The following is a 13,275-nucleotide window of genomic DNA, read 5'->3' as shown; positions in this document are numbered from 1 at the left end:
GAGTTCTAGCATCCCCAGGGGCTTTTACAAGGGGATTTGAGGGGAGGGTTGGGACATGAGCTTTGGGTTGCCCCCACCCCGCTGCAGCCAAAGCTTCCTGAGATGTTGTACAGATTGGCCTTCTGTTTAAGATTGTGTTTGAAGAAAGTCATGTGAAAAAACTATGTTGAAAAAAGTTACTGAGGAGCCCTATTTCCCTGTCTTGCAAATGATTGCATTTGAGGCCTGGAAAGGCCGGTGACTTGTCCTAGATCACATGTTCTGTCAGTTGTGCTTCCAATCTTCTGACAGCCAGGTCATTGCCACTTATACTATCTTAAATTGAGTACCCGTTTTCTGTCCTTTGCTAGCTGATATTTTATAGCAGTGCCACTCAAATTATGGTCCATAGACAAGATAAAGACAGAAATTAAGAGTAAGCATTTAGAAGCTTTTCTAGTAGTTTGACAATATTTTAGGACTTGGGTTTTAGATGTCTTTTTTAAAACTTCATTTTTCTGCTAACTTTTTTAACTTTATAAAAATCTTGCCCTGTAATCCTGTAATGGATTCAAAATTTTTAAAGGCAAAAAAAAAAAAAAAAAAAAAAAAAAAAAACCACAAAACAGACAGAACTAATCCTTTACCCCTGATAGTTTGAGAAGCAGCATGCTGGAGGGCATTGAATTTCTGGTGGTTGGGTGGGTTCAGAACTGCAAACAATGCTTTGTTGCCAGCGAGGCAGGTCTTGCTTCAAGAACCTTTTTGGATTCTGAACATGCAGGGAGACAGTCTTTCTTGTACTTTTTCACTTAAGTTTTCAATATATTTTTTGTTTATAAAATAAAAACTTACAGCTTGTGTAAAACAAGAGAAGAGGTTATAGGATTATATATTTAATAGCAGTAACAATTTTTATTTTTTATGAGCTCCTTGGAATTACAGTCTCAGTGTAACTGGTTAGGGTTTTTCTTGAGTAGAATTGGCTTTGTAGTTGGTTTGTTGTTGTTTAGTTTTTGTCTATGCTAAAAATAAGTTGTGCCGGTATATTGCCTTTTTTTTATTGTGATAAGAACACTGTCTGATGTATTATTTTATATCATTTACTCTTTTAACATGACTAATTTCGGAATTTTATTTATTCTTACTAATTTCGGTATCTTTTAAACATAGAATGACTTTGCTTTGCCAAATTTACTCCTAAAAATATTTCTCAAATATTTTTATTTGCTACATTGATTTCTGGTGAAAGAAAGAGTATGTGAAAATATTAGCCTTATGTAGTTTATAAGAATTGAAAGACGAGACTTTTTTTGTTAGTCAACTATATTCACCTAATTTACCTTTCTTTTATAAACAATCATGACTACTTAATTATTCCATGTAACTATGCATACCCTATTCCTAGTTTCAAAATGAATATTTTATTCTCTAAAAAGACCTTATTCGGCTGGGCACGGTGGCTCACGCCTGTAATCCCAGCACTTTGGGTGGCCGAGGCGGGTGGATCACCTGAGGTCGGGAGTTCGAGACCAGCCTGACCAACATGGAGAAACCCTGTCTCTACTAAAAATACAAAATTAGCTGGGCGTGGTGGCACATGCCTGTAATCCCAGCTACTCGGGAGGCTGAGGCAGGAGAATCACTTGAACCCTGGAGGCGGAGGTTGCGGTGAGCCGAGATTGTGCCATTGCATTCCAGCCTGGGCAACAAGAGTGAAACTCCGTCTCAAAAAAAAAAAAAAGACCTTATTCTTTTTAGAAATTAGAAGATTTTACATTTAATAGAATCTTCAAGAACTGCTGTGCTTTCTATAGTAAGGAGCCTACATTTGAGTTGTCATGGTTCTTCAGCAATTTTCACCTCTTCCTGTGGAATAAAGATGGAAGAGACAGAACCCTCTGGAAGCTTCTGCTCTGTTCTGTGAGAGGCCAGTGCTGGGTCTCAGCTGTTTATCAAAGCTGTTTGTCCTGCCTCTGGAGAGCAGGGGAGAGAACGATTTGACCTGGAATTATAAAATGCAGTCAATTTGGATTATTTTTAGACATCATTCACAGAAGTTGAGGCCTGTGTCACATTGATCATCTCCAGCTCTGGAGGAGCCTCGTTTATCTTCCATGGCCAGTGTGTCGGGAAAGTTTGTCACTGCAGCTTTCCGAGCCTGAGGGCCTTTCAGGGAGGCAGGAAGCCTGCTCCTCTTTCTCTTTCCTCTTTTTCCACAGAGGCTGGATGACTCTTGTCAGTGATCCTGATGTTGATTACTTGAGAAGCTGTTGCCATAGAGAACCATCCTTTTAAAACATGTTTATGTCGGCTTTTCCTAATAAGTGGCAATCGGAATAGCTGGTTAGGCATATGGGAAAAAATAAAAATAAAAAGACATAAAATTAACAGCTCTGTTACCATTGGCCTTCATATGAGGAATTTGGCATTCTGTGTATTTCTCTACTAAAGTCCAGCCAAGCTATTCTGTCCCTTCTAGTTCGTATTATCTTCTCCAATGTCCGGTGTGTCTGAGTTTGTAACTTCCAAGCGGAGTTCTGATGCCTGATATTAGAAAGGTATCTCTGCATACTTACTGGGTTGCTGAGAGTGCTCTTTGATGTCACATCACTTTTTAAACAAATTTTTTCTTTACTGGCTTTTGCTACTCAAAAGCAGGCAGCAGTTAGCAGCCTCTCTGCTGCTTGCTGACACAGTTCAGAAAGGTAGGCATTCTGTCGTTGGCAGGAGACAGAGCTTGAGGACTTTGTCAAAGCCCAGCGTCCTCCAGTTCCATACGTGTATATATGTACATGTGTGTATATAAAGGTATATTGTGTGTGTGCACTGGAAAAGCACCTGCCACTTCCAAAAGTCAGCCGTATTGTATTCACAGTCACAGAGCCGATTTTATAATACATTTATTCAGTAAATATTTACTTAGCACCTATTGTATGTACTTGTATAATGAGAAAGAAAACAAATTTTTACAAGATTTTTACTGAGGAAATTCAAAACTTTAAGGACACTGGTATTTGAAATTCATGTAATTTTTACATGTCATAAAATAGTTTTTTGTTTCCTCCTAACCATTTAGAAATGGTAAAAAAAAAAAAAAATCATTAAAAACTAGGCCCACGGCCATAGTTCACCAGTCTCTGTTCTAGAGAGAACCCTCTGGAACCCCTGCAGAGTGGGCTTCTAATACATGCCACAGGTTCTTACACCTGTTTCACATGTGCACGCACACACAATTTCTGTGTTTTCCAATTGAGTTGCTGCATAATTCTCATTCTGTTATTGTATCTTTGCTTTTTAATACCACTTCAAATCACAACTCTCTTCAGTCAATGGGGTTTTATATTTGTTTTTGACTCTTGTGATACTTGCTAATGCTAAAACTGATTGTGTCTCCCAGGCAAATTCCCCGAGGCTGCTCATTGCCGAGACTTGGTGCGTTTAGCCTAATTCCAGATGTGAGCGATGAATGTCTTGAAAAATGTACAAGATTTCACACTTGAAAAGCTTTTTGTGAGTGTAAAAATAGCTGTTCATCAATAAAACACTGGGTGTTTTCAGTTACATGGAAACCACGAAGGAAAAGCATGAAACCACAGAGGTTCCATAGAGAGAAGAGCAGGGCCGCCCGCCATAGTGGCTCAGGGCAGGCTTTCCAACGAACGGCCGTGAATCACTGCCTAGCTCAGCCTTCAGTGGCAAACCCATTTCAATGACTCCCTAGAATCAGCTTGCCCAGGTTGTTTTCAGCTAAGATATAATGTAGGCTGTGCCTTCACAGCTTGCTACCAGAGGCTGCTGGTGGAACTTCCATCCCACTGCTGTTCTCCAAATGAGCTGCTTACCTTTGTATGTGGTATGCACGAGAACTCTCTTCTCTTTACCAAGAACAGTTCTCTTCTTTAGCAAGAACAGTTCAGTCTCTACTGGCATTGCTTGTGTTCAACTAATCCCACAAAAAGAACGTGGCAGTTCCCATACCACACAGTACCTTGCTTTTTTCCAATTGACTTGTCCCCTCCAAGGCAACTGTGGTAACATGTGGAATGACAGAGCAGAAGGAGAAATGGATGGATCACTGGACTGAGTTTCTATTTATTGCTAAGGGCCAGGAAGGAACTGGCTGACAGCAGACGACACTCAGATGTACTCTGCAGTAGTTAGAGAAGCAGTTTGCATCACGAGGCAAGGGAAGGTGCTATCTGATGAGAAGGGGGTGGTTTCATGTGGATGGGAGGAATCTGCACTCAAAATGCTGATTCTCTTCTTACCCTCCCACACCCCTTCTGGACATTAGACCTGCCTGATGTGCAGACAAGTTCGTACTGACAAACACAAAGCATTTGGGGCCAGTGGGTGGTGGTGGGAGCTCTTCACAGCCTTGGTCCAGCTGGGTTTGGTGTCTTTGTGCCTTTGTTGAGCACTTACTGTACCTTGTTCCTCATTAGGGAGGTTGTGGATTGTATGAATACAAATGCAACATAAATGGCCCCTGTCCTCAAGAAACTTGTTTCCTTGGGAAGATGCTAGCAAAGCAAATTAAACAAATACAGAAAATAGAAGCAACAAGTTGCTATTATGGGGAATAAACAAGAAAGGATGTTCACTTGGGATTGGACTTGTGGAAGGAAGCAGTCACACACTTGATCTTCAAGAAAGTGATGCACGGGACTGTGTACAGGGGATGTGGAAGAACATCGTAGGCCAGCATAGGGAGTGACTGGGTCAGTTCATCCTGCCCCTTCTGTTGGAGGAGTTTAAAGTACACACACAGCTGACGGTGGGGTCTCCACAATCCCTTTGTTTTGAGGAGTCACACACAGTCACTTCATACCTGAAGGGATACATGAAGACATAATTTGTGTTTGTCAGAACTGCCCCACTGAAAAGTTTGGAAAAGGTACAGAATGTTCTGTCAAACCACTCACTTGCCAAGCTTTCTTAACTTTTCACAGACTAACCCAGCACAGGCTGATGACAGACAGGCTGTGGTGGCAGTGAGCATTTGTTCATCACAGGCAATAGCCATCAGGGCTCACAACCCCAGTTGCTAAATACATTACCCTTGATCTCTGGGAGTCTACTTTGTTAACAAAGTTCATTGAAGGATTACTGTTGCAGCATGACCTCCGTGTCTTAATGTGGAAATAAGAAAGCTTCCATCATCCTGTCACTTAAGATCAGTAGTGATGTATGAGCAAGGCTGGCGAGCTGAAAGACTTGCCTTTGAAGCCCATTTCCTGGACTGGCATGTTGATCATAAGTAGGGGGATTCTGTAGTAAGGTGCATCTGCTTCTGGCACTTCACTAAGGTCTCTGTGCAAACTGCTTCATTTCCTTGCCCCAAAAGATTCTTTTGAGAATAATGGAGAATCCTCTCTATTTGGGCATTGTACTAATAATCCATCTCAGTATACATGTTTGAATGACACAAGAGCAAAGTCCTCCATGAGCCCAGAGGATCTTGCGCAGATACTCACTCATGTAGCTGCAGAGTCTCCAGATGGAGGATCCTAAAAGAAGCAGAACAGACTTTAATTCTGTAGACATCCGAGAAGAGTTGATACATGTAGCTTCAGGCATCTTTCAGGGACCGGAGAGGACTGTGGTGTATTGTAATTGATACCCGCAGGGACTCTCTGCAGGGTCAGCTTGCCTTTGTGCCCACTCTTTGTTTTCTCCTCAGTGATAATTCGGAATTGCCAGAGATGGCGTTAAGATTCTCCAGCTCTAATCGTGACACACAGTGTACGCCCATGAACCACCTGAATTGACCTGTTGCTGATGAGGAAACTGAGTCAGAGAACCACAGCAGCCACCTTTCCATATTGGCAGTGTCCAGGTGGAAGCTGTCCAGCATCTGCCCAAGAGGGCTTCTTGCCTGGGTGGAAGGTTTGGACTTGGGTTTTACTCTGTGCTTTAAAACAGTCAAACTTTTTCAAGTGAATGTACATGCTAGTTTGATAAATTATAAAACTCTTTTAAGCCTGGCTTCAGGCTGTTTTTTATTTATATGAATTGCAAACCAAAATGATGTAGTTTTTTTCTCTTTTGAAAGTACTATTTCTGTGGATATTTTTTCTGCATCAGTCAACTTAGGTGAGTGTAGACCTTAGTCTCTGGATTATGTGGTCAATTGATACATACTTTAGTTTTGGGGTGGCTTCTGAAGAGAGAGGAAAGGTGACAAGGCAGTCCATGAGGTGGGAGCTAGGAGTCGGGGTCCTGTGGTACAGGGAGCAAGGGCTTTGCACCTGGCAGCCTTAGGGCTGTCTCTCTCCTGCTGTGTTCCAGCTGTGAGACCTTCTGCGGATTAAGTGCTAGGAGTCTCACTCTCTGCCTGTGTGATGTGGAGAGGACGCCTCTCCTCAGGTTGCAGCAAGAGTTGGCTGAGATGCCACTTGATGTCAAGTGCCTGGCACGGTGGTGATAGCTGCCTTCCTCAGGACACCCAGGCCTGATCACTTTGGGTGAAGCTTCCTCAAATGATTGAGCAGGGTGATCCCATGGGCCTGGCTTTAAACTCTCAGGGCTCTGTGAACTGGGGAACAGGTGCTCCAGAGTCATCTCAGTTCAAAGCCACAAGTACTTATTGATTGGGTAGAAATTAAGGCCCACTTACCATTTGGGAAAGTCAGTCATCAAATGTTTTTGACACATGTGATGCACTCATTAGCGCTGAAGGAAGGGAGAGGACTGTGAGGCTTGCTGTGAACAGACTAGGCCAGTCCTGCTTATTTTATTAGGTTGGTGCAAAAGTAATCACGGTTTTTGCCATTAGTGGCAAAAACCTCCTTTAGCTGAACAGCAAGCATTGGAATTTGAAAAAGAGAGAGAGACATTTCCCGAATCCCTGAGCTTAAATCACATTTGGCAAGATGATTAACCATATTTCTTGGTAGTATTTTATATGGAACCAGAAGTTTTCAAGTTACTCTTAAATTTGTTTCATTAGGTTTTGGCACACAGTTAGCAAACAGACATTCTCAACGTTTATGAAGCAGTGAATGTCGCATTTAAATTTTTTTTTATTTTATTTTTTGAGGTGTATTGTGTGTTTAATGGAAATGTGGGAAAATGCAAGTTATTGTCATTTCAAAATGCTTAAAAGTAACTTGTTTTCTCAATACTTGTTTACTTTGATAGAGACCAGATGTAAAAGCATTAGTTTTCTTGAAAAGATGTATCTATTTTTATGTGATGCCATGGTCAAGAATGCAGAAGCAGGATTAGAATCTCTGCAGTGAAACTGAGTCTCCGACTTTGGTGTATAAAAGATGAGTCCTGGCCATTGCTCCTGCAGGAGTCAGATTTTCAATGTATTTTTCCTTTGAGTCCATGGTCTTGTAAAATAGGCACGTTTCTGTGATGTGGGAGGGTGGCTACCCCCGCATTAAGCAGCTCTCTCTAGCCAGTCATTGTGTGGCCAGCACTTTGCTGGGAAGAAGTAGGACTTGGGTGCTGGCCCCTCTCTAGCCTGTCTCCATGCCCTGCCAAGCCTGTGCAGTGACCCGTGCCTATTAAACTTACATCCCAGAAGTTGATGATGAGCATATGAGCATACTTACTTTCTGGAGTTACGAAGACCCGCTGAATTCAACAAGTGACTCAAAAATGGTCTTGTATTTCCTGATAATAAAAAATGTGATTAATACCAGCAATTAGTTCCGGTGATTAAAATCAGGAATTCACAAGGTAATAAATAGATGAGCAAGGTAAGGAGTCATAGGATTCGACTCAGATCTGAGTTCCAGCCTCAAAAATACATTCCAAAAGAGTGGCCCACAGACTGCAGGCTCCTGTAGTGCTGCGAAACTGTCAGTGAGACTTCTGTTGCATAAACGAGCCAGCCGTCGTCACCGAGTCTGTCTCTGTGTGGCTGTGAGGGTGCCTGGTCACCGAGCCTGTCTCTGTGTGGCTGTGAGGGTGTCTGGTCACCGAGCCTGTCTCTTTGTGGCTGTGAGGGTGCCTGGTCACCGAGCCTGTCTCTGTGTGGCTGTGAGGGTGCCTGGTCACCGAGCCTGTCTCTGTGTGGCTGTGAGGGTGCCTGGTCACCGAGCCTGTCTCTGTGTGGCTGTGAGGGTGCCTGGTCACCGAGCCTGTCTCTGTGTGGCTGTGAGGGTGCCTGGTCACCGAGCCTGTCTCTGTGTGGCTGAGGGTGCCTGGTCACCGAGCCTGTCTCTGTGTGGCTGTGAGGGTGCCTGGTCACCGAGCCTGTCTCTGTGTGGCTGTGAGGGTGCCTGGTCACCGAGCCTGTCTCTGTGTGGCTGTGAGGGTGCCTGGTCACCGAGCCTGTCTCTGTGGCTGTGAGGGTGCCCGTCTTTGGGAGGCAGGATCTTTCTTGTTCATGAGCCTGGGATTGGCTCGTGCCGGGAGAGCCTTGAGAAGATCCTTCACTCTGCTGTGCAGCATTTCAGCTCTTTTTCAACATTTGAAGAACAAAAAGACAAATCTCCTGAGGCAGATTTTTTTTATTTTTCTCAAAATCACCCTATGGAATTCCAGCACAAATTGAATAGTAATAGATAAAATTAAAACTGCTTCCCAAAACTCAGTTGATTTATTCTTCATGTTCTGCCTATTTTGAAATTCCAGAATTGACCACATGATTTTTTTTTTTAATGTACCCCTTGGTGAAAGCTGTCTGAGGCACTTGCCACTGAAGGCCCAATTGTCCATTGATACATATTAATATCGATTCTGCTGGAACTGCAACTGGGACATTATCTTGGATTCCACTGAGGTGGCTTTTGAGGACCACTGTGTCGAGACAATACAGGGTCTGTTTATAGGTGGTTTGTAATTCAGTTACCTGCACAAGCAGAACCTTGCCAGCCAAGTTTAGGATCATTAGTAGAATCCTGATTTGGAGATTTCTTTATTCAGGAGCCGTTTCCCACCCTCCCATCATGAAAGCGTAGAACACCCAGCCTCTTCTTGTGAGATAAATGAGTATGAAGGAAGAAGTTGGGTGACTATGAAAACCTAAGTTTAGCATGATTGCTTAATGACTTATTTCCAGAGTCTCTGTGGGCAGAGTTGCTGCAGACATTGATTTGACTCCGAGCATATTCCTTATAGTCTTCAACCCGAAAGCACTTCCTGCCTCACAGGCACTCCTCCTCACCTTACTGCCAGCCTCAGCCCAAATGGCGATTCCAGCATTTCATTCTTTATCCCAGCCTCTCCCCTTAGGAATTTTCTCTCGCTTCTCAAGCTTTACAGCAAAATGTACTTTTAGATATATACATTTTTCACATTTTTTCTTATAGCAGATATTACCTGACAATGAGATATACTCATTTAAAATTAAAATCCTAATCCCAGCTGTTATGTGTGAGTAACTCACATTTAAAAACAGCCCAAACACAGTCCCGAGTATACAGTTTTTGTTAGGGAAGGAGGGGGCATTTCTCTACTCCCCACCCCCAGCTGAGGGAAAGAAGCCCCCAAGCTGGCCTGTTGGTTCAGGGAGGAGGCTGAGACACGCGGAGTCTCCACTCTGCCCTCCCTTCAGGAGCAGCTGCCAGAGCGGCCACGCTCCACCTTTGGGGGAGAAAGGGTGCCCCTGGCAAGCCAGGTTCCAGGGTGGAATGCGGCTCCTGTCCTCATGGAAGGTTAACCTATCCAGATGGCGTCTAAGTTTCTAGATCAACACAGGGGCCCATGTAACCCATAATGAAGATGAAATCGGTGTCTAACAAAATCACCAAGCTCTGGAACACCAGTGTCCCTGTTTCTGATGGGAGATTCTGGGAGCTTAGTCACCACAACACTTGTTTCTAGGGAGACATTTACTCAGAATTCCATCGAGGCGGCTTGCCTGCTCCCTTCTGACATTAGCTTCTGCCTGTCATCTACCACCCCACCTGGTACCCAGCCGGAGTGTGTGGCCGCCTTGCTCCCGGCCTGCAGTTCAGGCCGACCAGAAGGGAGAGAGGCCAAAGGGAGCGTGTCACTCAGCCTTGTCTCCTAAGTGCCGGGTGTGGGTGCCGGGTGTGAGCGCCGGGTGTGGGTGCCAGGTGTGAGCGCCGGGTGTGGGTGCCTCCTGGGTGCGGTGAGGGATGAACAGTTGATGCTTACCTGCCTTTTAACTCTTCTGCCCACCATAGGGCGATGCCAGTCCCTCCACTCCAGAGGAGAACGAAACCACGACAACCAGCGCCTTCACCATCCAGGAGTACTTTGCCAAGCGGATGGCAGCACTGAAGAACAAGCCCCAGGTTCCAGTTCCAGGGTCTGACATTTCTGAGACGCAGGTGGAACGTAAAAGGGGGAAGAAAAGAAATAAAGAGGCCACAGGTAAAGATGTGGAAAGTTACCTCCAGCCTAAGGCCAAGAGGCACACGGAGGGAAAGCCCGAGAGGGCCGAGGCCCAGGAGCGAGTGGCCAAGAAGAAGAGCGCGCCAGCAGAAGAGCAGCTCAGAGGCCCCTGCTGGGACCAGAGTTCCAAGGCCTCTGCTCAGGATGCAGGGGACCATGTGCAGCCGCCTGAGGGCCGGGACTTCACCCTGAAGCCCAAAAAGAGGAGAGGGAAGAAAAAGCTGCAAAAACCAGTAGAGATAGCAGAGGACGCTACACTAGAAGAAACGCTAGTGAAAAAGAAGAAGAAGAAAGATTCCAAATGAATCCTTCCCAGCCGGGGCCTTCCGACCACTCAGCTGTCAGGGCACTGCGGGGGCAGACACCTCTGGCCTGAAGTCACAGCAGAGTTCACCCCAGAGCGCCTGGGCGCATCTTGTGGCATGCCCATGGGCTGCCGAGTCCTGCCCTCTCGCCACATTTCCCCCAAGTTACATTCCCAGGAGGACCTTTTTAATGTTCTCAATCGTGGCTCTCAGACACAAATAAATTTTTTTGTAAACTCTGAGCCCTTCAGCAAGAGAGTTTAATTATAATCATTACAAATACATGCATTCATGTAAGTGTGCACACGTGTGTGTGCATGTGCGCATCTGTGTGTGTGTGTGTGTGTCACTATCTCCGTTTGCTCTCGGTTCCCTTCAATAACAATGAATGGTGCTTTCTTCTGAAAGACTCAGCCTAATTAAAGGATTAAGAGGCAATAGCTTGGATTCAGATTGTTCTTTTTGTTCTATAGCCAACCAACATTTTTGCCAAGTAGAAATTATATGATTACATTCCCAAATCAGAGAGGTTTTTTGTTGTGTTTTGGTTTTGATGGGGAAACGCGTTAACGCCCTCCCCTCCACTAAGCAGTGGCAGCCGACTGTTCTGAGCGCTTCCCCCGCCTCTGCCAAGCTTCAGCAGTGGACAGACTCAGGGCCAATGTCATCTCTCAGCTCTCACAGGAGGACTCTTGCCGTTCCTGTGCCGAGTGTGGGTTCTCTCATATGTTTCCTTTTGGGGGTCCTTCAGAACAAATCACCTAATACTGATTTATCTGTCACATGGCTGTAAATAGTGACTTAATTGTCATGATCAGGAGGTCCTCAGAAGGCTTAAGAAACTGAGAGGCTAAGGCCGTGAAATTAAAGCCAGTCTTTGGATTGGGACTGCCTTATGAAAGTCCTTACAGCAAAAGACACCTTTCAGCCCTGCTCCCAGCAGTGGTGTCGCAGCGCCATGCTTGTGCCGCCCTCGCCCGCCGCGCCTTGGCCCGTCTCCCCGTGTGCCAGCCAAACTCTCCCTTTGGGTTCACTCGGATGCCTGTAGACACTTCACACCATCCCTGGGACACAGGAGAAGAAAACGCTCAGCTGAGGTTCTGGAGTCCGGCCCTGCCACCTTCCCAGCCCTGTGTCTGCCGTTCTGCCCTGTGCGCCGCCTTCATCTCCTCCTGCTGTTCCTCTTCATCCGCGTACGCATTTATTCCCTCTTTCTCACGCTCCCCTCCTAGTTCCCAGTTTCCCTGCACCCCCTTTCCCCACGTCCCCATGTCCCCAGCCTACCATGGAGGCCTTGAGGCTGCCTGGCCCTGCTTCAGGCAAACCTGGCTGAGGCCCAGGTGGTGTGTTGTCCTCCATTTGATATAGAGATTGTGGCTGGTGACGGGAACTCAAACTTGCCCCCAATTCGGTGACCTTTTCCCCTTGATTTTAACTCTCAAGGTCACACATTAGATAGGAAGCATGGTCCCGAGATTCTTGAAATGTAGAGAAAATACATGAAGGACATTTGGCTGTAGTCTCTAAGGATGCTGCGCAGTGCTATTTGTTTGAAAAGAGACACACACACACACAGAGAAGAGTCTTATGAATATAGAGCCTGATGACTCGTCTCTTGAGTTTTTCATGTCCCCCCGAGTTTAGAATCCCAGGCTAATAGAGCCTCAGCGGTTTCTGAAGTCACTTTCTCCACAGAGGGCACATGCCCAGGTTCTCTCTGCCTGTCCCATCTTGCCTGTGAAACCAGAGATCCAGAAAGAAGTGGAATGCATGGAACCTAAGGGGAGCTAACTTTCAAAAATAAATAGATGCTGATTGGTTGTTTTTTTTGGCCTTTTGTTTTAACTTCCTTTACCAGTAAAAATGAGAGCCAGGAGAATATACCAAAATGTGTGCAGGCGCATTTAGGAGGCAGGTGGAATGCATTTAGGCCAGACATGGGTGCAGGAGCTGGGTGGGAAGGCCAGAGGAGGGAGGTGCGGAAGGGAGCTGGTAGTTCCTGGAGTTAGGAATTCCAAGGCAGCTGGACTGGAAGATTGTTCACATGCAAATGTTGGTTTTTTTTCTTTTTTTTTTTTTTTTTTCAGAGATAGGGTCTCTTTCTGTTGCCCAGGCTGGAATGCAGAGGCCTGGTCAAAGCTCACTGCAGCTTCGAACTCCTGGGCTCAAGCAGTCGTCCTGTCTCAGCCTCCCCAGCAGCTGGGACTGCAGGCATGTGCCACCACACCTGGCTAATGTTTTTATTTTTTCTAGAGACACGGTCTTGCTATGTTGCCCAGGCTGGTATTGAACTCCTGGCCTCAAGTGATCCTCCCGCCTTGGCTTCCCTAAGTGCTGGGATTACAGGTGTGAGCCACTACACCTGGCCCACATGCAGCTTTTACTGAGAGAATGTAGAATGTGGTGATGACTGTTTTCATAGGCCGGAGAAAGGCCTCCTGAATATTTTGTTTTTTGTTTGTTTGTTTGTTTTTGTTTTTGTTTTTAGGAGAGGGAGTCTCGTTCTATCACCCAGGAGGGAGTGCAGTGGTGCGACCTCAGCTCACTGCAACCTCCGCCTTCTGGATTCAACTGATTCTCCTGCCTCAGCCTCCTGAGTAGCTGGGATTACAGGCACGGGCCACCACACCTGGCTAATTTTTGTATTCTTAGTACAGATGGGGTTTTG

At 45.5% G+C, this 13,275-nt stretch overlaps 1 protein-coding gene and 1 long non-coding RNA gene across 3 annotated transcripts in view, besides 1 other annotated feature; one reads left to right on the top strand and one right to left on the bottom strand.

The window, feature by feature from the left end:
- The window catches only part of PINX1 (PIN2 (TERF1) interacting telomerase inhibitor 1), a 74,915-nt gene extending 63,868 nt beyond the window's left edge, over nt 1-11,047 (top strand). For both annotated transcript variants that reach the window (NM_001284356.2, NM_017884.6), the window contains one exon: nt 10,092-11,047. In NM_001284356.2, the coding sequence (NP_001271285.1) occupies nt 10,092-10,222 (131 nt within the window). In that variant the 3' untranslated portion in view covers nt 10,223-11,047. The remainder of the gene's footprint in view (nt 1-10,091) is intronic.
- Nucleotides 649-848: a silencer, noted in NCBI's record as "fragment chr8:10632670-10632869 (GRCh37/hg19 assembly coordinates)". NCBI's record gives its function as "represses an EF-1alpha promoter that drives an FKBP-Casp9 reporter gene in an ReSE screen in K562 erythroleukemia cells {active_cell/tissue: K562}" and the evidence as "EXISTENCE:reporter gene assay evidence [ECO:0000049][PMID:32094911]".
- The window catches only part of SOX7-AS1 (SOX7 antisense RNA 1), a 43,620-nt gene continuing 33,442 nt past the window's right edge, over nt 3,098-13,275 (bottom strand). The window contains exons 2-3 of the long non-coding RNA NR_146188.1: nt 7,548-7,608; nt 3,098-5,492 (exon numbers count right to left, since the gene is read on the bottom strand). This is a non-coding gene — a long non-coding RNA (SOX7 antisense RNA 1). The remainder of the gene's footprint in view (nt 5,493-7,547; nt 7,609-13,275) is intronic.

The sequence above is a fragment of the Homo sapiens genome, chromosome 8 (genome assembly GCF_000001405.40).
Source record: "Homo sapiens chromosome 8, GRCh38.p14 Primary Assembly".
Taxonomy (NCBI): domain Eukaryota; kingdom Metazoa; phylum Chordata; class Mammalia; order Primates; family Hominidae; genus Homo; species Homo sapiens.
Note: the sequence above shows the minus strand (reverse complement) of the source record. Positions and strands in the feature narration are given on the sequence as shown.